The sequence below is a fragment of the Homo sapiens genome, chromosome 11, assembly GCF_000001405.40.
Source record: "Homo sapiens chromosome 11, GRCh38.p14 Primary Assembly".
Taxonomy (NCBI): domain Eukaryota; kingdom Metazoa; phylum Chordata; class Mammalia; order Primates; family Hominidae; genus Homo; species Homo sapiens.
Window position 1 is genome coordinate 34032655 of NC_000011.10, and position 21804 is coordinate 34054458.

The window sequence follows — 21804 nt, forward strand, 5'->3', positions numbered from 1 at the left end:
TCCCCATAGTACTCCATATTTCCTTGTTCCTGACTCAGTTCCCCACTGTTGGAATGTACCTGCCCACTCCCAGCTCTCCAGTGTAGCCTCTGAAGCACCTGCTCTGTGATCAACAAATTTCTCTGTGTCTTACACGTCTCTTCTGGGAACGTTCTCCATACTTCATTCCATTAATTAAAACCTGATCTCTCTCTCTTCTTAGATAGGGTCTCCCTCTATCACTCAGGCTGGAGTACAGTGGCTCGATCATGGCTCACTGCAGCCTCAATCTTCTAGGCTCAAGCAATCCTCCCACCTCAGCCTTCTAAGTAGCTGGAACTACAGGCATGCACCACCATGCTCGGCTAATTTTTAAAACTTTTTTAGTAGAGATGAGGACTTGCTATGTTTCCCAGGCTGGTCCCAAACTCCTAAACACAACTGATCTGCCCACTTTGGCCTCCCAAAGTGTTGGGATTACAGGCATTAGCCACCATGCCCAGACTTAAAGCCTGTTCTCTTCTGTAGCAGCCTTCTGTGATACTAAATCTGTGCTCACAACTATCCACTACAGGACAGGTTCTTGTCCTCCTTTCTTCTCATCACTATTTCTAGATCATTACTTCTTCTCTACTCTCTTGTAAAAACTCCTACTCCTTTGAGGCTTATGCCCCGTGATGGTTAATTTTATATGTTAACTTGACTGGGCTAAGGGATGCCCAGATAGTTGATAAAACATTATTTCTGGGTGTGTCTGTGAGGATGTTCCCAGAGGAGATTAGCATTTGAATCAGAGACTGAGTAAAGAAGATCAGCCCTCACCAATGTGGATGAGCATCAGTCAATCTCTTGAGGGCCCAAATAGAAAAACAAGGTGGAGGAAGTGCTGGATGTAGTGGCTTACACCTGTAATCCCAGCACTTTGGGAGGCCAAGGTGGGAGGATTGCTTGAGGCCAGAAATTTGAGACCAGGCTGGACAACATAGCAAGACCCCATTTCTATGTGAAAAAAAATTTTTAAAGGAGGAGGAAGAGCAAATTATTCACTCTCTCTCTCTCTCTCTCTCTCTCTTTCTTTTCCTTTGGGACAGAGTTTTGCTCTTGTTTCCCAGGCTGGAGTGCAATGGCGTGATCTCGGCTCACCACAACCTCTGCTTCCCAGGTTCAAGCCATTCTCCTGCCTCAGCCTCCCAAGTAGCTGGGATTACAAGCATGTGCCACCACGCCTGGCTAATTTTGTACTTTTAGTAGAGATAGGGTTTTGCCATGTTGGTCAGGTTGGTCTCGAACTCCCGACCTCCGGTGATCCGCCTGCCTTGGCCTCCCAAAGTGCTAGGATTACAGGCGTGAGCCACCATGCTCGGCCCATTCTCTCTCATTTTGAGCTAGGACATCCATCTCTCCTGCCTTTGGACATCAGAGCTCCTGGTTCTTGGGCCTTCAAACTCGAGGACTTGTACTTTACACTTGGGACTTCTTTCCATGAGCTGTGGAAAGCCACTGAAGAGTTTTAATCAGCTGATTGAAATGGTCTGACTTTCCTTTGAAAAGAGCACTCTAGCTACTATGCAGGAAATAGCCTGTGGGGGAGGCATGGATGGAGCTGAGACACAGTGAACAGAACTTGGGTGTGGTCGAGCTGGAAGCTGAAGGTGTGGGCTAGGGAGGTAACCCTACACTTTTTTTTTTTTTTTTTTTTGAGATGGAGTTTTGCCTGTCTCCCAGGCTGGAGTGCAATGGAGTGATCTCGGCTCATTGTAACCTTCGCCTCCTGGGTTCATGCGATTCTCCTGCCTCAGCCTCCCGAGTACCTGGAACTATGGGCATGCACCACCACACCTGGCTAATTTGTGTATTTTTAGTAGAGATGGGGTTTCACCATGTTGTCTAGGCTGGTCTCAAACTCCCGACCTCAGGTGATACGCCTGCCTTGGCCTCCCAAAGTGTTGGGATTACAGGCCTGAGCCACCACGCCCAGCCAACCCTATACTTTTAACCACATGCTGTCCTTGTACTTTTCTCTGAAGGTGCAGTACCTGGACCAGCAGCATCCAACATTACCTTGGAATTTGTCATGTAAATTCTCAGGCCCTGACCCACTTACCTGCTTACTTTTATGAAACTTCTGATTCTTTACATAACCCTCTCATTCCCATGAAATAACTTTTACCTCTTAGTTCACAGTGGGCAAAAAAAAGAATCTATTGTGCAGGAATTCCTTCAATTTCCAACCACCATACCTATAAACGCCTGTAAATTATTTTCTTCAGGTCCATTCATACTAAAGAGGGTTCCCGCCTTCTAACTGTGGCTGAGCCCTCTGTCTGTGCTTACCATTTATGCGTGCTCAAGTCTCCATCAACACACTAAAACAAATAAATAATTTCCCCTACCTCTGCCTCCAGCCATCACCCTGTCCGTCCCAAAGCCAAACATCTTGGAAGAGTTGTCTACATTCATTCTGTCTACTCTCTAATCACCTCCCCAGACTACTTGAACCTGGCTTTGGTTCCTGCCATTCCACTGAATGATCTCTCACCAGGGTTCCCAATGATCTCTTGCTGCTAAAAACAGGGAAAACATTCAGTCATGTCACAAGTATACCTGTACTTCCTGTTAAATTATTGAAATACTTTTGCGCCAGTTTTAAGAAGAACTGCCACCCCAAGTCCCCTCAGTACCTCCTCTCTGGTCACTGCCTCAGACCTTCCTCCATAGCTTCCCATCATCTAGCAACTAAAGAGCTAATGCCACCCACCGCAGGCCCGCCTCATCCTGTCCCATATCAGGCTAATGTTCATTCTGATTGGTTGGTATTCAAGCCGTATCAGTTGTTAAATATTTTTAGTGTAGCCCACGCTGGCAAAACTCAGCAAATTTTCCAGTCTCCATCTTGACTATTCAGAATCATTTAACATAGTCAACTCTTTAAAATACTCTCTTCCTTTGATTTCTGTGATGCCATACTCTCTTGATATTTTTCCCTCTACTTCTCAGTTTCCTAGACTGACTTTCCCCATCCATATAATCTTTAAATTGTTGGTATTGCCCTCAGTCCTCTTCGCTTTGATATCTCAATAGATCTCACTATTCTCACATCATGGCTTCAATGACTATCAATATGTGAATGAATTCCACATTGAATCCAAGACTTCTCTGAACCTCAGGCTGGACTTAAATGTCTGCTTAGCACATTCATTTGGCTGTCTCATAACCCCTGCAAACTTAACATGTATAAAATTGAACTTCCTGGCCGGATGCGGTGGCTCACGCCTATAATCCCAGCACTTTGGGAGGCCAAGGCAGGTAGGATCACCTGAGGTCAGGAGTTCGAGACCAGCCTGGCATATATGGTGAAACCCTGTCTCTACTAAAACTACAAAAAATTAGCCAGGCGTGGTGGTGAGTGCCTGTAATCCTAGCTACTCAGGAGGCTGAAGGAGGGAGACTCCCTTGAACCCCAGGAGGCAAAGGTTACAGTGAGCCAAGATGGCGCCATTGCACTCCAGTCTGGGCAAAAAGAGCGAAACTCCTTCTCAAAATAAATAAATAAATAAATAAATAAAGAAAATTGAACTTCCCATCTCTTAGCTGCCCTTCTGGTCCTTCTACCGCGATGGTTCTAACCATCCAACCAGATGTATGAATCTAGAAAGCTAAGAGTCATCTGTGACTCCTCTCTCTCCCTTACTGCCCTCTCATATTCAATCAATTACCACGTTCTATTTATTCTACCTCTAAAATATATGTAATTGCATATTAAATCCATTAAAATCTCTCCATATGCCCTGCCAGTACTTTGCTCAAGCCACCATCGCCCCTATGATTATGGTGGCCTCTTGTATTCTTGCATCCATATTTGCCTCTCTCCAATCTATTTTTTTGTAAAGCAGCCAGAGTTATCTTTTAAAAATGCAAATCTGATTAGACCAATATATCCTTTTTCATTCTCCTGGGGTTCAAAATGAGGTCACATTCCTTTCAATGTTCAAATCAGATGACTTGGAGCCTTCAACTTGTCTCCCTTGTGTGGTAACTTTAGATTCCAAAGGTACAGATTGTCTTGATAAGTGGAACTGGGAAATTTGCTCATATTCTTTTTGCCTGCTGTGACTGTCAGTAAAATACCCAATTCTATGTGTTCTTCCATCCTCATGTAGTCCTTATCCATTGGGTTTATGATATGCTGTGACTAGGCACAGACGTCTACCAAATAGCCCAGGGTAATCCTTATTCAAAGAAAGAAAGAATTTTGATTATCTAGGGGCCCAACAGTGTTTCAATTCTAGAACTAGGAAAAAAAAAAAAATATATATATATATATATATATATATATATATATATATATATATATATATTTCTTTCAAAGTGTTGCATTCAACTATGGTGGCTCAATGCCATGGTGTTCAGTCTTTTCCCTTGCATAGCTCTTCTAGCTTATACACAGGGATAAGAAGTGCTGGTAGGTGTCAGAATCAGCTTTTATTCCCCAAGGCAAAGCCTTAATGGCTTTGTGATTTAGTGCATGTAAATTGATTTTTCTGCCCAAGTCTACTCCAGCAATCTGCCAGGCTCAATACATATAGTTCCACAGGAGGCCAGCAGTGTGGGCTGCAACACCAGTCAGAATGCACTTAAAACCTTTGGCTTTAGGGTGTGGTCTGCTTCTTTCCAAGAAGCATCTTGCCTCAGTTCCTTTTTTTTTTTTTTGAGACAGAGTCTTGCTCTGTAGCCCAGGCTGGAGTACAATGGCACGATCTCTGCTCACTGTAACCTCCGCCTCCCAGGTTCAAGTGATTCTCCTGCCTCAGCCTTCCGAGTAGCTGGGACTACAGGCGCCTGCCACCATGCCCGGCTAATTTTTTGTATTTTTAGTAGAGATGGGGTTTCACTGTGTTAGCCAGGATGGTCTCGATCTCCTGACCTTGTGATCCGTGCGCCTTGGCCTCCCAAAGTGCTGGAATTACAGACGTGATCCACTGCGCCTGGCCCACCTCAGTTCATTTTTAACCAAAATGTCCCTAACACTCTAGTTCCTATCTTTGGTAGGTGGCCTGACCACTATCTGAAGTTGGAAACAGGAGAATCCCAGAAGCCACCTTCTTCTCACATCTAATCAGCCACCAATCCTTGGTGACTCGATCTATTAATATACTTAGAATTAAGCTGGGACACTGTCGTAGTTAAATGTCTTATCCGTTCTTTTACCATTTTAATCAGTTCCTACAGGTTACCTTGACTCAGCTTCTAATCTAACCTCCATATTGAATCCATTATTATTTCTAAAATGTAAATCTGATCCTGCCTCTGTTCTTCTTAAATCTCTTTTAATTAATTCCAATTGTCTATTGAAAAGATAGGATTCTAGGCTGGGCGCGGTGGCTCACGCCTGTAATTCCAGCACTTTGGGAGGCCTAGGTGGGCGGATCACGAGGTCAGGAGTTCGAGACCATCCTGGCTAACGCGGTGAAACCCCATCTCTACTAAAAATATGAAAAACTAGCCAGGTGTGGTGGCACGTGCCTGTAGTCCCAGCTACTCGGGAAGCTGAGGCAGGAGAATCTCATGAATCTGGAAGGCAAAGGTTGCAGTGAGCCAAGATCACACCACTGCACTCCAGCCTGAGCAACAGAGCGTGACTGTTTGAAAAAAAAAAAAAAAAAGAAAAGAAAAGATAGGATTACAAATCTGACATCTATGAACCAGGAATCAACAGATGAGCATCAGAAGAACTGAATTATATGTAGGAATTTACATGTGCATTTTTCCAATGAGATGGTCTGTAATTTTAATCAGAACTTCAGGGGAATGTATTTCCATAAGAAGGCTAAGACCTATAGTTCAAGTTCAAGCGGTGTAACTAGGATAAAAGGAGTTTTCATGACCTGGTCATAGCTTACCTGGCTAGTCTTATTATCTGCAGCTCTCTCCCTGCCATCCCTCCCCAATTAATACTCCCATAATATAGAAACACTTGGGATCCCTAAACCACACGATATGATTTTATGCTTTCATGTGCTATTGAGCATGCTGTTCCCTCTGCCTGCAATGCCTTTCCTCTTTCTTTTACCCACTTTTGTTTCTTGTAAAAATTATCTTTCGCCAGGTGCAGTGGCTCACACCTGTAATCCCAGCACTTTGGGAGTCCGAGGTGGGCGGATCTCCTGAGGTTGGGAATTCGAGACCAGCCTGACCAACATGGAGAAACCCTGTCTCTACTAAAAATACAAAAATTAGCCGGGCTTGGTGGCACATGCCTGTAATCCCAGCGACTTGGGAGGCTGAGGCAGGAGAATCGCTTGAACCCGGGAGGCGGAGGTTGCAGTGAGCCGAGATCATGCCATTGAACTCCAGCCTGGGCAACAAGAGTGAAACTTCGCCTCAAAAAAAAAAAAAAATCTTTCAAAATTCAGCTCTGGCAACATTTCCAGAGAGCCTTTTCTGATTCCCACCCATAAAGAGTTACCCACTCCACTTATGTGTCACCTCTGTTCTTGTACAGCCTTCTGGGTTGCCCATATTTTTGCCATAAAAAAGAAAATATCTTAAGTAGACATTTATATTGAAGCATAACATACCTACAGGAGTGTGCAAACTGTAGGCATATGGCTCAATGAACTTTACGAAGTGAACACAGCTATGTAACTATCACTCTGAACAAGAGATAGAATATTGGCCAGGCATAATATCTCATACCCGTAATCCTGGCACTTTGGGAGGCTGAGGTGAGTGGATAGCTTGAGTCCAGGAGTTAGAGACTAGTCTGGGTAATGTGGGGAAACCTCACCTCTACCAAAAAAAAAAAAAAACATATATATATATATACACACAAAAATTAGGCTGGGCATGGTGGCTCACATCTGCAATCCCAGAGCTTTGGGAGGCTGAGGCGGGTGGACCACCTGAAGTCAGGAGTTCGAGACCAGCCTGGCCAACATGGTGAAACCCTGTATCTACTAAAAATACAAAAAATTAGCCTGGCGTGGTGGCGGCTGTAATCCCAGCTACTTGGGAGGCTGGCGCAGGAGAATCGCTTGAACCCGGGAGGCAGAGGTTGCAGTGAGCCGAGATTGCGCCATTGCACTCCAGCCTGGGCAACAAGAGTGAAACTCCATTTCAAAAACCAAACAAATAAACAAACAAACAAAAATTAGCAGGGCATGGTGGCGCACACCTGTGGTCCCAGCTGCTTGGGAAGCTGAGGTGGGAGGATCACCTGAGCCCGGAGAGGTCTAGGCTGCAGTGAGCCATGATCGCACCACTGCACTCCAGCCTGGCTGACAGAGTGAGACCCTGTCTCAAAAATAAATAATTAAATAAAAAAATAAAAAGAGAATATTGCCAGGACCTCAAAAGCCTCTCTTGTGCTACATCCCAGTCATTACCTAATGACAAAGGTAATCACTGTTCCGATTTCTTTTACCATAGATTAGTTTGTTTTTATTGTTCCATACTTTTGTGTCTAGTTTCTTTGATTCAACATTATGTGTGTTGAATTTATCCATGTTGTTGCTAGTAGCAGTGGTTTGTTCATTTTCACAGCTATATGTATTAAATAAATATACCATATATTTATCTTTTTCTACTATTGATAGAAATTTGGGTTGTTTCCATTTTTGGTTACTAAGAACAATGCTGCCATGAACATGCTTGTATATGTCTCTTGATGACCATATCTATGCTTTTCTATTAGTATATGCCTAAAGCAGAATTTCTGAGTTATACGGTATGTGAATACTCAGCTTTAGGAGATACTGACAAACACTGTTCTAAGATGGCTGGGCCTATTTATTTATTTATATATATTTTTTATTTTTTTGAGACAGAGTCTCACTCTGTCACCCAGGCTGGAGTGCGGTGGCACGATCTTGGCTCACTGCAACCTCCACCTCCCAGGTTCAAGTGATTCTCTTGTCTCAGGCTCCCGAGTAGCTGGGATTACAGATGCACGCCGCCATGCCCGGCTAATTTTTTGTATTTTAGTAGAGATGGGTTACGCCGTGTTGCCCAGGCTGGTCTCAAACTCCTGAGCTCAGGCAATCCACTCGCCTCAGCCTCCCAAAGTTCTAGGATTGCAGGTGTGAGCCACCGCGCACGGCTGTCTGGGCCAATTTATACTCCCATCCACACTGCATGGAAATTCCAGTTGCGCTACATTCTTGCCATTCCTTGTTTATTTCAGGTTTTGCTTTGTTTTTGTTTTGTTTTCTTTTGCTTTTAGGACAGGGTCTTGCTTTGTCACCCTGGCTGGAGTGCAGTGGCACGAACATGGCTCACTGCAGCCTTAACCTCCCAGGCTCAAGAGATCCTCTCTCCTCAGCCCCCCAAGAAGCTGAGACTACAGGCACGTGCCACCATGCCCAGGTAATTTTTGTAGTTTTTGTAGAGATGGGGTTTCGCCATGTTGCCCAAGCTGGTCTTTAACTCCTGAGCTCAGGCCATCTGCCCGCATTGGCCTCTCAAAGTGCTGGGATTACAGGCATAAGCCAATGTGCCTGGCCCATTTCAGTTTTTAAATTTTAGCCATTTTGGTGACTATGTAGTAGTATCTCACTGAAGTATATCACATTAAATTGTATCTCTTTATATATTTGACTACCCTTCTTAATACTAATTTTCTGGAGGCCATAGGATTATGTCTTATTCAACATGTGAATAAACACAGACAGTGCCTGGCATGCACAAGGTGCTAAGTTCTTGTTGCAGAAGTAATGAGGGGCTGAGAAGTCTTCCAAATGCTAAAATCAAACATTTCCGGTACATAAAAATCGACCTTGCCTAAGTTTAATCATCATCAAATCCCAGTCAACAGACATGCCTGAGTGTCCACTCACTGCCAGTATTAGTCTTCTGATACTTTCTTCCCAAGGCCTCATCAGCTGAGTGCTTCATAGCATTGCCTGGCAATGTAGACACTAGAGCTGTGACAGTCCTAATCATAAAGGTAAAAGAACCCTTGAAATATGATTCCATTTCCCCCACTTTCTTCCAAAATCATATGTAAATCCCACAAAGAGTGGAATAATCTAATCCTTGTTTAAAGACAACCAGTTATGCAAATAGAGCCCCAATAAGGTACTGCTTCTCACTGAGACACATTCACTAGCACAGCGATAATCAAAAACATGGCTAAGGGCGGGGCGCGGTGGCTCACACCTGTAATCCCAGCACTTTGGGAGGCCAAGGTGGGCAGATCACCTGAGGTCGGGAGTTCAAGACCAGCCTGGCCAACATGTTGAAACCCTGTCTCTACAAAAAATGCAAAAATTAGCTGGGCATGATGGCAGGTGCCTGTAATCCCAGCTACTTGGGAGCCTGGGGCGGAAGAATAGCTTGAACCTGGGAGGTGGAGGTTGCAGTGAGCTGAGATTGTGCCATTGCACTCCAGCCTGGGCGATAGAGCGAGACTCTGTCTCAAAAAAACAAAAACAACAAACAAACAAACAAACATGGCTAATAACAAGTGTTTGATGAGGATGTAAAGAAATTGAAACCTCATACAAAGCTGAATATGGTGCAGCCACTTTGGAGAACACTTAGGCAGTTGCTCAAAATATTACATGTAGGCCAGGCACAGTGGCTCATGCCTGTAATCCCAGCACTTTGGGAGGCTGAAGAGGGCGGATCACGAGGTCAGGAGATTGAGGCCAGTGTGGTCAACATGATGAAACCCCATCTCTACTAAAAATACAAAAAAAATTAGCCGGGCGTTGTGGTGCGCACCTACAGGCCCAGCTACTTTGGAGCTTGAGGCAGGAGAATCGCTTGAACTCGGGAGGTGGAGGCTGCAGTGAACCGAGATCACACCACTGCACTCCAGCCTGGGCAACAGAGCGAGACTCCATCCCAAAACAAAAACAAAAACAAAAACATTACACATAAAGTTACCATATAACCTAGCAATCTACTGTAGGTGTATACCTAGTGAATTGAAAACATGTGTTCATACAAAAAACTTGTACATGAATGTTGCATTAGTCTGTTCTCTCATTGCTATAGAGAACTACCTGAGGCCAGGTGCAGTGGCTTACACCTGTAACCCCAACACTTTGGGAGGCCAAGGCAGGTGGATCATGAGGTCAAGAGATCAAGACCATCCTGGCCAACATGGTGAAACCCCGTGTCTACTAAAAATACAAAAAAAAATCAGCCAGGCATGGTGGCGCGTGCCTGTAGTCCCAGCTACTTGGGAGGCTGAGGCAGGAGAATCACTTGAACCCAGGAGGCAGAGGTTGCAGTGAGCCGAGATCGCGTCACTGCATTACAGGCTGGTGATAGAGTGAGACTCCGTTGAAAAAAAAAAAACTACCTGAGACTGGGTAATTTATAAAGAAAAGAGGTTTAATTGGCTTACTGTTCCACAGGCTGGGGGAGGCCTCAGGAAACTTATCATCATGGCAGACGGCAAAGGGGAAGCAGGCACAATCTTCACATGGTGCAGCAGGAGAGACAGAGTGAGGGTGGAAGTGCTACACACTTTTAAACAACCAGATCTCGTGAAACTCACTATCACAGCAACAGCAAGAGGGAAGTCTGCCCTTATGATCCAATCACCTCCCACCCACTAGGCCCCTTCTCCAACATTGGGGATCACAATTTGACATGAGATTTGGGTGGGGACACAAATCCAAACCATATCAAATATTCACAACAGCATTATTCACAACAACCAAGAAGTGGAAGACACCCCAAGTGTCTATCAATGGATGAATAGACAAACAAACTCTAGTATACCTATTCAATGGAATATTATTCAGCCATAAAAAGGAATGAAATTCATGCCAAAACAAGGATGTATCTTAAAAATACTATGATAAGTGAAATAAGCCAGGCACAAAAGGCCATATATTGTAGGGTTCCAGCTATCTAAAATGTCCAGAATAGGCAATTTCATAGAGAAAGTAGATTAGCAGTAGCCAGGGGCTAGGAGGAGGGGTAAATGGGGAATGACTGCTAATGAGGTACATGTTACTTCCTGGGGTGATAAAAATGTCCTAAAATTAGGTAATGGCAATGGTTGCATTACTCTCAAATATCAAATATACTAAAAACCAGTTAATTGTACACTTTAAATGGGTTAATTTTATGATAGGTAAATTAGAGCCCAATAAAAGTTATACAACACACTGAGCTGTTGTTTTAGTTTTGCATAATTTACTTATCTAAATTATTTGCAATAAACTTGTATTACTCTTGCAATTTTTTAAAAATGAAGGTTTAAAAATATTTAATTATAATTTATACTTTTTTTCTGTGAAAAGGCTGCATAAACGCATTCCTTGTCACACCATCATTTCTTTTTCTCACATCAAATCAGCCCTAGCTATCCTAAAGAACTGTCTTCTTTCCGCTTTAGGTGGATGTTAGCACAGCATTCACGAGGAGAAACACCACCAGCTCTAGCTCCAAAGAACGCCAAGGAATATGATCTTGCAATACTATAGGGCTGCCAGATCTGCATTTGGTTTAGACAAGGAGGGCCCAGAGAAAAGGTTGCTGCCTTCTTTCATTGTCCTCTGTAGGCAAAGTCTAAATGGGGTATGACTAGGATGTCCAATATCTCCTTCTATTTTTTCTCTTCTGCCCTCTTTTTGGTTTTTTTTTTTTGGGAGACGAAGTCTCACTCTTGTCCCCCAGGCTGGAGTGTGATGGCGTGATCTTGGCTTACTGCAACCTTGGCCTCCCGGGTTCAAACCGTTCTCCTGCCTCAGCCTCCCGAGTAGCTGGGATTACAGGCGCCTGCCACCACGCCTGGCTAATTTTTGTATTTTTGGTAGAGACAGGGTTTCATCATATTGGCCAGGCTGGTCTCAAACTCCTGACCTCAGGTGATCCACCTGCCTCGGCCTCCCAAAGTGCTGGGATTACAGGCATGAGCCACTGAGCCCAGCCATCTTCTGGTCTCTTTAAGAGGAAAATGCAAAACAAAAAGTAGCAGCAGAAAACATACATATTACAGTACACTACTGTCATTTTTTATTACTTTTTTTTTTTTTTTTGAGATGGAGTCTTTGTTGCCCAGGCTGGAGTGCAGTGGCGCGATCTCGGCTCACTGCAACCTCCCCCTCCTGGGTTCAAGCGACTCCTCTGCCTCAGCCTCCTGACTAGTTAGGATTACAGGCATTAGCCACCACGCCTGGCTAGTTTTCGTATTTCTAGTAGAGACGTGGTTTCTCCATGTTGGTCTTCAAACCCCTGACCTCAGATATCTGCCCGCCTCGGCCTCCCAAAGCGCTAGGATCACAGGCGTGAGCCACCTCACTTGGCCGCCTTTGATTACTTTTTAAAATTTCTTCTTAGTTTTTTCCTTGTTCCAATATTTTCCCTAGATCGGCTGTACCAGCATCGAAACAGGGCTTGTTAGAAACTCAAATTACCAGCCGGCCCTCAGAGTCTCCATTAGTCATTCAGCGGGCGGGGCCCAGCCAGCAGCGCTTTAGCAAGCCCTCCAGGCCGTTCTGACTCTTCCCCGAGAAAAGGCTTCAGCTTTTCAAGTATAACGTACTATACAAGAGCTGAAACTACAGACTTGCTGAGTCACCCTTCCTTTCTCTTGGTCACCCGAACCTTCCATTCACCATTCTGCCTGGATTCCATTCTGCCTGGATTCTTCTCTCGGCATATTTCTCTCGATATTTTCTCTTCCATCTTGGAATCTGCTTCTTCCTGAATCAGCACCTCGAGTTTGCCGTCCTTTTCCATCTATCAACATGCCCTACTTAAGACACTGTCACAGCACTACCTGGGAGGAAAGATAGGAAGATACCATGAAAAGAAGATGTTTTTGAACATTTTTGGCACTTATTTTTGTGAAAATGAGTAGCATGTACACTCTACGTCTATAGAGCAGAGATTCACAAGCTTGAATGTGCAAAGGGGAGTTTCGTTTTTTAAATGGATGTTCCTAGGTTTCAGATTCTGGGATGTAGAGGCAATGTCTGGGGGGGAGTCTAGGAATTTTCATTTTGACAAGTACCCCAGGTCATTTGGAAATTGGTGGTCCTTGCCTACTTTGGGAAGCACTGCATCAAAGACGAGAATTGGGGTGTGGGGGGTAGGGCTCTCTCCTTTGCAAATTCTACATCCACTGAAAATCTATGCAAGAAAAAAACAAACACAGGACCTACATCTTCTCATGACATTTTTCACATCTCTAGTGATTTGGTGCTTAGGAGACCTTTAAATCAAGTTCTCAGGCTCTCAAGATAAACAAGTTATCAACACACAAAGAGTAAACCATTAATATAGGGGGAGTTGTGCTGTTAGGTGTGAAAATTATTCTTGAAATAATACTATCCTGACCAGCTATAGGAACAATCTTGAATAAGCTGATTACTTCTATACTTATATTCCCCTAGTATGTATTAACTGAGATACATAAAGTTTTATTCCTTCCAAAATTCATGGAGCAGTTAGTTGTTACCTTGAAGGAAGTTATTTTTCTCAAATTATTGTTCACAGTGGTTGTATGTATTAGTAGGGGAATTGATACACAGAATACTTTATTGCCTGAAATGACCATGATTATTCATATTGCCAAGATGCAAGATCACCCTACGAACAGATCAGCTTGCATCTTGGCAACATGCATAATGCAGTTAGTTCTCTTTTTTTTCTTTTCCTTCCTTCCTTCCTTCCTTCCTTCCTTCCTTCCTTCCTTCCTTCCTGTCTCTCTCCCCCCTCCACGCTCCCCCCTTTTTCTCTTTCTTTCTTTCTCTTTCTCTCTCTCTCTCTCCCCCACCCGCGCCCCACCCCCCTTCTTTCTTTCTTCCTTTTTTTTTTTTTTTTTTTTGAGACAGAGTCTTGCTCTGTTGCCCAGGCTGGAGTGCAGTGCCGTGATCTCAGCTCACTGCAACCTCCGCTTCCTGGGTTCAAGTGATTCTCCTGCCTCAGCCTCCTGAGTAGCTAGGATTACAGGCATGCACCACCATACCCGCCTAATTTTTACATTTTTTTTAGTAGAGACGGGGTTTCGCCACGTTAGCCAGACTGGTCTCAAACTCCTGACCTCAGGTGATCCACCCACCTTAGCCTCCCAAAGTGCTGGGATTACAGGCGTGAGCCACCTCAATAAGGCATTTCTAAAGGCATTTTTAATTTGGGGCGCCAGTGTCATCAGAGTAGCTTTACTTGTAAAGTGCTAGAACAAGTGACTACTTTTTTGTTTTGTTTTTTGAGATAGAGTCTTGCCCTGTCACCCAGGCTGGAGTGCAGTGGCGCAATCTTGGTTCACTGCAACCTCTGCCTCCCAGGTTCAAGTGATTCTCCTTCCTCAGCCTCCTGAGTAGCTGGGATTACAGGCACCCGCCACCATGCCCGGCTAATTTTTGTATTTTTAGTAGAAACAGGGTTTCACCATGTTGGCCAGGCTGGTCTCGAACTCCTGACCTTGGGTGATCCGTCTGCCTTGGCCTCCCAAAGTGCTGGAATTACAAGCATGAGCCACCGTGCCTGGCCAGTGACTACATCTTTTATCTCATAAAATAGAACAGCATTTCCCAAACTCGGCATTATTGATGTTTTGGTCTGAATAATTGTGTGTTGTTTTGTGCATTGTAAGATGTTTAGAAGCATCTTTGGCCTCTACAAACTGGATGCAATTAACATCTTCCCCTCAAGTTGTGACAACTAAATACTTCTAGACATTGCTAGTGATTTGGTGCTTAGGAGACCTTTAAATCAAGTGTCCCCGAGGGACAAAATCACCACAGGTTGGGAACCACTGAAATAGAAACATGATGTTAAGACAACATACAATTCATATAAGTAACTATATGAAAGATTTTAGTACCTGTGGCCAAGGTGTTTTTGCTTTTAAAACATTTTTATTTTTAGGCTGGGCGCAGTGGCTCAGGCCTGTAATCCCAGCTCTTTGGGAGGCCAAGGCAGGTGGGTTGCCTGAACTCAGGAATTTGAGGCCAGCCTGGCCAACATGGTGAAATCCTGTCTCTACCAAAAATACAAAAATTAGTCGGGCATGATGGCATGCACCTGTAATCCCAGCTACTCGGGAGGCTGAGGCAGGAGAACCACTTGAACCCAGGAGGTAGAGATTGCAATGAGCTGAGATCTTGCCACTGCACTCCAGCCTGGGCGACAGAATGATACTCCATCTCAAAAAAATAAATAAATAAAATAAAATAAAAATAAAATTTTTATTTTTTAGATGCTGGGTTTTACTCTGTTGTCCACGCTGGAGTGTAGTGACATGATATTGCATCCTCGAACTACTGGGCTCAACTAATGCTCTCATTTCAGCCTCCCGAGTAGCTGGGATTTCAAGCACATACCACTGTGTTTACTTTTACATTGAGTAAAGTGTGTAGCTTCTAAGAGTGTTCAATAACAAACAACAGTATTTCGTGAAATCTGAAATAACTATTCTGAACATATTGTACCTCTACAAAACATGAAGTCCTGTTTCTAAGCATAATATTACACGCAAGAAAAGGTGGACATAGGAAAATATAAGCGGAAAAGGATGTTATCTCAGCTGATGACCAAAATGTAAGAATTCAGAGACAGTATGGACCAATAGTAATAATAATATTAAAACCGTACTGATATGTTAATACAGTAGGCAATACTTAGTGACAAAATAGTTGTGCCAGGCATGCTATTGCTTATGAGGATCCAGAGATGGAAAAACAAAACGACTGCTCTTTTTCTTTGAAAAGCTTAGAGTTTAGTGGTGGTTCATGGACACATAGACAATCATTGATTGAATTACAATAAAAAAGACTGTACTGGAAAAATTATGATAGAAATGTCTACTCCTGACTTGTAGTAAAATGATGGAAAAACAAATTTAAGAAACTTTAAGAGCCTTAGCTATGTGAACAGTGTAGTTCACACTTTGGTCAGGTTTCTGTCAACCTGAAACAAAGAGGCAGTTCATATAATTCAGATGAAGATTCCTCTCTTTTGCTACAAATAAGCATTAGCTTATTGGGTGACTCAAGTTCAAGCAGTTGAATTATTTTGCTAAAATGATCAGGATAAATAGTTTAATTATTCACTTTGTGGAAACTTCAAAGTGCTGTGGTCTAATGAATTGAACAAGCAAATGTCAGCTTGAAAGATTTGTTATTGAAATATATTATTTTGCATATTGTTGTATTTGCTTTATGTTAATATATTTAATATTGGCATATATTAAAGTATACCAAGGTTTTTAAATTTATAAACCATTTATAAACATATTCTGCTCCTCCAGTGTGTTTTCTGGGAACCCTTTATTTCTTCAATGATGCAATGACTGCAAGTTACTGCATAGCTCTGTACTAGAAAAAAGGGTTTAAAAAATGAGTATTTAAAATTCACATAAACATAGCTTCAGTCAAGTAGGAAATACACAAATTTGAATGACTGAGACCTTGGCATTGATCTGGGCAGGAAGTGAGCTTTAGGACACAGCTTTGCCTTAAATTTATTGGTCTTTCTGGACTTGCTGACCTGAACAGACAAACGCAGAATGTCAGAACACCAATGAAATGGGATTGGGATGATATAGGAAGTGAAAGCGTGACAGCTTCATATATTCACCAAATATTTCTGGCTCATCTGCTTCCTACCCGGCATCTGATAGAATACCATCTCTTGACTCCCTTATAGTTGGATAGGGTCATGTGACTCTTTTTGGCCAATGAATTTAAGCAGATGTGATGCATATCTACTTGTCTAAAGCATTTAATTGACTGAGATATTCCTGAGTTCTCTTGTGGTACAGTGATCAGCAACACTTGAGATATGGCATCAGCATGAATCTACTGAGTGACTACTACGAACAGGGCCCTCTGTTGAACTGTGATGGATGTGTACCATTTGCAGTTGTTTTTTGTTTTTTGAGACAGTCTCACTCTGTTGCTTAGGCTGGAATGCAGTGGCACAATCTTGGCTCACTGCAGCCTCTGCCTCCCGGGTTCTCGTGCCTCAACCTCCTGAGCAGCTGTAATTACAGGCATGCGCCACCACACCCAGCAAATTTTTTTGTATTTTTAGTAGAGACAGGATTTGCCATATTGGCCAGGCTGGTCTCGAACTCCTGACCTCAAGTGATCTGCCAGCCTTGGCTTCCCAAAGTGTTGGAATTACAGGCATGAGCCCCTTCACCTGGCCCCTTTGTAGTTTTAAACCAGGGATTGGCAAACACTTTTTTTGTAAAAGAAGAGATAGTATTCTAGGTTTTGCACACCCTACTGTCTGTTGCACACCCAAGTACTCAACTCTGCTGTGCTATGGCAGAGAGGCAGTCATAGAATGGATGTGCATAGATGGATTGGATGTCTCCCAATAAAACTTTAGACATTGGTCAATTCCGAGGAACAAAACAGTGATTTCTGAAACTTTAATGTACACACAAATCTCCTGAAGATCTTGTTAAAATGTAGATTCAGTTAAGTCTGCTATGCAGTCCAAGATAGTAGTGATAGTGGTAGTGAGAGAGGTTGGGCTGAATAAACTTTGAGTTGCAAGGAGCTAAAGGATTATCATCTCCGTTTCTAGCCTCTAGGCCTGGCATAATTGCTCAGCGTAGTGCTAAGGATGGTTTAGGTGACTAAATTTTGAAACTATGACTCCCCATCTAATGCAGCAAAAGCCAAAGTCCTTACCGTGGTCTTTCAGGCCCTACAAGACCAGCCCCCTTTAATATGTTTGACCTCATCTCCTACTCTCTGCTCTTGCCACTATGGTTTCCGTGCTGTTCCTTGAACCCAAAAAGCACACTCCGTCTCAGATCTTAGTACTTGGTGTTTCCTCTACCTGGAAAATTCCTCCTCCAAGGTAGCTGCTTAGCCTTCTTCCTCACTTCCTTCAGTACTAGCTCAAATGTCAGTAAGGCTTTCCCTGACCACCGTTTTTTCTTTTCTCTACCATTTCACTATCTGACATGTATTTACTTGTCTTCCCCTTACTTAGATTGTAAGCTCCATGTAAATATGTTTTGTTCATAATCCCTAGCACTTAAGAGTTCCCAGCACACAGTAAGGTGCTTAATAAATATTTGAATGAATATATAACAGACTTTGCAGCTAACCAGGATATCTTGAGGTCGGAGGCTGCTGTTGTTTCTCCAGGCTCCCTCAGGATGCACTGTTGCCAGTCAGCGTTACTCATTTTATTCCCTAGGGAACAGTGGGTTTGGTAGAACTCTCTTCTAAATCTCTTTTTCATAGAATTTAAATTATAAATTGGTCATTTACTGTTGTCACACAATATTGCGTTGCTGAATTTTCCACTGATTATATTCATTTTATTTCCTCCCAGAACTTGGTTTCTTGTTTTTCTGCTCACTGTCCACACCCACTCCACCCCAAGGCTGGAATAATTCTCTTGGAGCAAAAAAATCATCTTTTTCTTTGTATTTCATTGAACGTTCTCTTTACAGTGTTAGGTAAACCTAAAAAAAAAGGAAACAAAAGTCTAATAATTCGTAATACTCAGGCCTACTGGATGTATAACATCATAGGGTAGCTGAAGACTCTTTGTGAGGCCAGAGCTTTAGGATTTAAAAAGCCACCAACCATGACCGTGTCCGACACGTTCTACAGAGAACTCCTAGGTTACTGGGTGATTGTTTGGTGGGGAAGCGGCGAGTTGTCTTTTTTTCAAAAGACGTTTTGGGGTATGGAGTTTGCTCGCTCTGCATACAGAAGGAATTCTAGAAGCTGGGATCGCACCACCCACCCCACGCACCCCTTACTTGCAGAAACCTTTGCCCCCCAACCCCCACCCCCACCCCAAATAAGGGCTCTTCAAGGGGCAGTTGCCAGCTCCAGAGCCAGCTGCTTGACACCTATTGTCCCCGTTTGGGCGTCAAACGATTTCGCCTGAAGGACCCTAGCGTCGATTGCTCTCAAAACTCAAGGGGCCTTTCCTTCGGCCTTGCCGGGGCCATCCCCACCTGCGTCCAGGAGGCGCCCCACAGCGCCGGGGCCGGGGGACGGCGGAGAAGCTAGCGGGCGGCCTCTTCCGGGCAGGCGTTCGCGCCGGGCAGCCCGAGCGGCCGCGAAGGCCCCCGCTCTCCGCTTCTCCCGCCCCTCGCGACCCAGAGGGCTGCTGGCTGGCTAAGTCCCTCCCGCTCCCGGCTCTCGCCTCACTAGGAGCGGCTCTCGGTGCAGCGGGACAGGGCGAAGCGGCCTGCGCCCACGGAGCGCGCGACACTGCCCGGAAGGGACCACCACCCTTGCCCCCTCAGCTGCCCACTCGTGATTTCCAGCGGCCTCCGCGCGCGCACGGTGAGCGCCACCCGGGACCGAGCCGCTGCAGGGGAAGAGGGCCGCTGCGCCCGGGTGTCCTTTATCTCCGGACCCGCTGGAGCTTCCGAGGGGCTTGCCCCCAAGTCCCCCCACCCCACCCCGGTCATTTCCCATGCCCTTCTCTGCCCCCAAGCCCCGACCTCTCTCTTTCCTCCCTTCTCCGGAAGCCGGCAAAAGCCGGCCCTCCCCGGTAGGGACCGTTGCAGTGGCCGTTGGCGGCCGGCGCGGCGATGCCCCGCCTCCGGCGCGAGCCTCGGAGCCCCCGGGCTGGTAGGCCGAGCCGGCGGCTCCGCGGGGGAGGGGCGGGTCGGGGGGCGGTGCGAGGCCCAGCCGGGCGCCCCGCTGGCGGGTCGCGCGCGCGCCCGCGCACTCTTCCTGCCCTCGAGGCGCGCCGCGCCCCCTCCCCCACCCGCTCGCGTAGGCTACCGCTCGCTGCGCGTTTTGTCCCGCGTCTCGCCCCGTCCGTCTCCTGACTGGCCGCTCTTGTCCTTCCTCCCGCTTTTTCTTCTCTCTCCTTGCGGTCTGAAGATGCCCTCGGCCACCAGCCACAGCGGGAGCGGCAGCAAGTCGTCCGGACCGCCACCGCCGTCGGGTTCCTCCGGGAGTGAGGCGGCCGCGGGAGCCGGGGCCGCCGCGCCGGCTTCTCAGCACCCCGCAACCGGCACCGGCGCTGTCCAGACCGAGGCCATGAAGCAGATTCTCGGGGTGATCGACAAGAAACTTCGGAACCTGGAGAAGAAAAAGGTGCCAGGAGTTGGCGGGGAAGGGAGGGGTGGCTGCGGCCGGGCTCTGCGGCCCCTCCGACCCTGGTCGCTGGAGCCTTCGCTTCTTTTCGTCTCGGGAGCGTTACTAGGTCCCCTCCTCCCACCCCCTGGCCCACACGCCCCGTCTCCACGTTCAGCGGGAGCTTCGTGCCCAGAAAACGGGCTCTTGGAAGAGGCACTTGTCACCTGACTCGGACGCGGCACTGTACCCCAGGCCTCTTTATTACTCTTCCGCTGTGGGTCCGGCTTTTTGGCCTTTAGGAGTGGGACATGTGAGGGTGGGGGCCTGTCGTCAGGACTTCACTGTATGGTGCCCTTCTTTCCGTCTCTGAGGCCCGATTTCTCTGACGAGGGCCCAAAATGAAGAGGTCCCTGCGCGGGGGGCTCCGGGTTCAACCGACCGCCTCGTGGAGTTGGGGCGGCCTGCGTCCTGCAGCCTTGGGGTCTGTCCGCTCGGTTACCATGCACTCGAGACCTGTCGAGCGTCCCCTCTTCTTCCGTAGGAGAGAAGTGTGTTTAGAATCTTAAGGTAGAACTGCCTTTCCGGCAGGCCCATTTTGAATGGGTCTTCGATTTGCTACCCCCGCGCCCATGCGATGGGCTCCCCTGCGTTTCCCTCTTTGTTTCAATTGTTTAGGTGTCCCCCCGAGCCTCAGGCTCAGCTCAATCGCGAGATGATTTTCTGCAGCGACTTTTTGTTCCTAGGGGACTGTGAAGGGGCGGGGGACTGCCACGATTTAGATTCGTTGGGGGCTGGGTCCTGGGGAGACTGGAGAGGATGGCTGGGACTCGGGGCACATGGAGAGAGCGTCTAACATGGCGGCGGCTGCGGGGAGAGGGAAGCGCTTTACTGGAGCTGCATTGTGAGCACAAAGCGAAAGCAGAGGGGGAGGGCAGAGACCAGGCAGCCGCCCCGACTGGCCTCCTTAGGCCCCCCTCTAAAAAAAAAAAAAATCGAGCCACACCCACGATTTTTTGGATTCAATATTTAGTCCTTGTAGATCAAACTACTGAGGTATATCTTCATCTGCAAGTCAGCCTTTTGTTTTATGCTTTCATCGCAGGACAGTGTAAACTCTTGTTTAGAGGGGCGTGTGTATGTATGTAGAGAAAAGGTCTGGGCAGAGTGAATAATTAAAATGAGTAAGATCAGAGGTGGAAGGGGAGAAACAAATTAGTCGTTTGTAAAAACGAGGTAATTACGTCTGTGACTATCATGTTAACTTGAATTTTACCTTATAAAGTAAAATGAAGCCTTGATAACTTCTACTTGTCTGCCTCTAGGAAAACATATTTATAACATCTTGAATTTCCAGGAAATCATTTTGCAGTGTTTATGTGGCCAGACACCTAATAGTGTTACTTGAGGTGCTGATATAGTAACTGGCTAAAACTTGGGCTGTGGGAAATAAGTTGAAGAAAACTGGTGATGTTTAGGTCTTATTAATTTTACTTATATATTTTACATTTTGGGAGAGTTTTAAAACATTTAGATTTGATACTTCCCTGTTTCATCTTCGGTATTGAAGGTTGGAAGTTTTACTTGAATTTCATGGACTTGGGATTTCTTTTTTTTCCCAATCCTTTATTTTGATAAATGTATGTTTTATTATAGGTAATTGGAATAGTAAATGTAGTTACATCAAGAAAGTAACAAAAGTATTTTAAGTGTAAGGTAGCTACATTCAAATGTTGAATGGAATAAGCATGCCCAAGGCCAGTATCTTCTGAGTCTGACACATGATTTAGTTTACCCTGTTGGGTATCTTCTTAAATTTTTTTTTTTTTGAGACGGAGTTTCG

The 21804-nt window shown here is 45.3% G+C and overlaps 1 protein-coding gene and 1 long non-coding RNA gene across 10 annotated transcripts in view, besides 8 other annotated features; one reads left to right on the forward strand and one right to left on the reverse strand.

Annotated features, from left to right (window-relative positions):
* Positions 1-11932: 11932 nt before the first annotated feature.
* Positions 11933-20673, reverse strand: LOC101929918 (uncharacterized). Of its 5 annotated transcripts, none has more exons than XR_931177.3 (3): positions 19665-20673; positions 18017-18379; positions 11933-12721 (listed from the first exon to the last, which is right to left on the reverse strand). It is a non-coding gene; the product is annotated as an uncharacterized LOC101929918 (long non-coding RNA). The 5 variants fall into 5 exon arrangements; XR_007062650.1 differs by lacking the exon at positions 19665-20673 and adding an exon at positions 19379-19470 and having other exon boundaries at positions 18017-18104; XR_931179.3 differs by lacking the exon at positions 19665-20673 and adding an exon at positions 19379-19470 and having other exon boundaries at positions 12218-12717.
* Positions 18732-18931: a silencer, noted in NCBI's record as "fragment chr11:34072933-34073132 (GRCh37/hg19 assembly coordinates)". NCBI's record gives its function as "represses an EF-1alpha promoter that drives an FKBP-Casp9 reporter gene in an ReSE screen in K562 erythroleukemia cells {active_cell/tissue: K562}" and the evidence as "EXISTENCE:reporter gene assay evidence [ECO:0000049][PMID:32094911]".
* Positions 18732-19340: a biological region, named in NCBI's record as "ReSE screen-validated silencer GRCh37_chr11:34072933-34073132".
* Positions 18791-19340: a silencer, noted in NCBI's record as "silent region_3249". NCBI's record gives its function as "represses an Ori minimal core promoter by ATAC-STARR-seq in GM12878 lymphoblastoid cells {active_cell/tissue: GM12878}" and the evidence as "EXISTENCE:reporter gene assay evidence [ECO:0000049][PMID:35858748]".
* CAPRIN1 (cell cycle associated protein 1) overlaps positions 19077-21804 on the forward strand; it is a 50880-nt gene continuing 48152 nt past the window's right edge. For 3 of the 5 annotated variants that reach the window (NM_005898.5, NM_203364.3, XM_047426960.1), the window contains exons 1-2: positions 19077-19217; positions 19767-19982. In NM_005898.5, coding sequence (NP_005889.3) covers positions 19767-19982 — 216 coding nt within the window. In that variant the 5' untranslated portion in view covers positions 19077-19217. Of the gene's footprint in view, positions 19218-19645; positions 19983-21804 lie in introns of those variants that run through there. The other 2 variants (XM_047426959.1, XM_047426961.1) reach the window with 1 other exon arrangement.
* Positions 19381-19680: a silencer, noted in NCBI's record as "silent region_3250". NCBI's record gives its function as "represses an Ori minimal core promoter by ATAC-STARR-seq in GM12878 lymphoblastoid cells {active_cell/tissue: GM12878}" and the evidence as "EXISTENCE:reporter gene assay evidence [ECO:0000049][PMID:35858748]".
* Positions 20291-20360: an enhancer, noted in NCBI's record as "active region_4588". NCBI's record gives its function as "activates an Ori minimal core promoter by ATAC-STARR-seq in GM12878 lymphoblastoid cells {active_cell/tissue: GM12878}" and the evidence as "EXISTENCE:reporter gene assay evidence [ECO:0000049][PMID:35858748]".
* Positions 20431-20500: an enhancer, noted in NCBI's record as "active region_4589". NCBI's record gives its function as "activates an Ori minimal core promoter by ATAC-STARR-seq in GM12878 lymphoblastoid cells {active_cell/tissue: GM12878}" and the evidence as "EXISTENCE:reporter gene assay evidence [ECO:0000049][PMID:35858748]".
* Positions 20571-20640: an enhancer, noted in NCBI's record as "active region_4590". NCBI's record gives its function as "activates an Ori minimal core promoter by ATAC-STARR-seq in GM12878 lymphoblastoid cells {active_cell/tissue: GM12878}" and the evidence as "EXISTENCE:reporter gene assay evidence [ECO:0000049][PMID:35858748]".
* Positions 20671-20950: an enhancer, noted in NCBI's record as "active region_4591". NCBI's record gives its function as "activates an Ori minimal core promoter by ATAC-STARR-seq in GM12878 lymphoblastoid cells {active_cell/tissue: GM12878}" and the evidence as "EXISTENCE:reporter gene assay evidence [ECO:0000049][PMID:35858748]".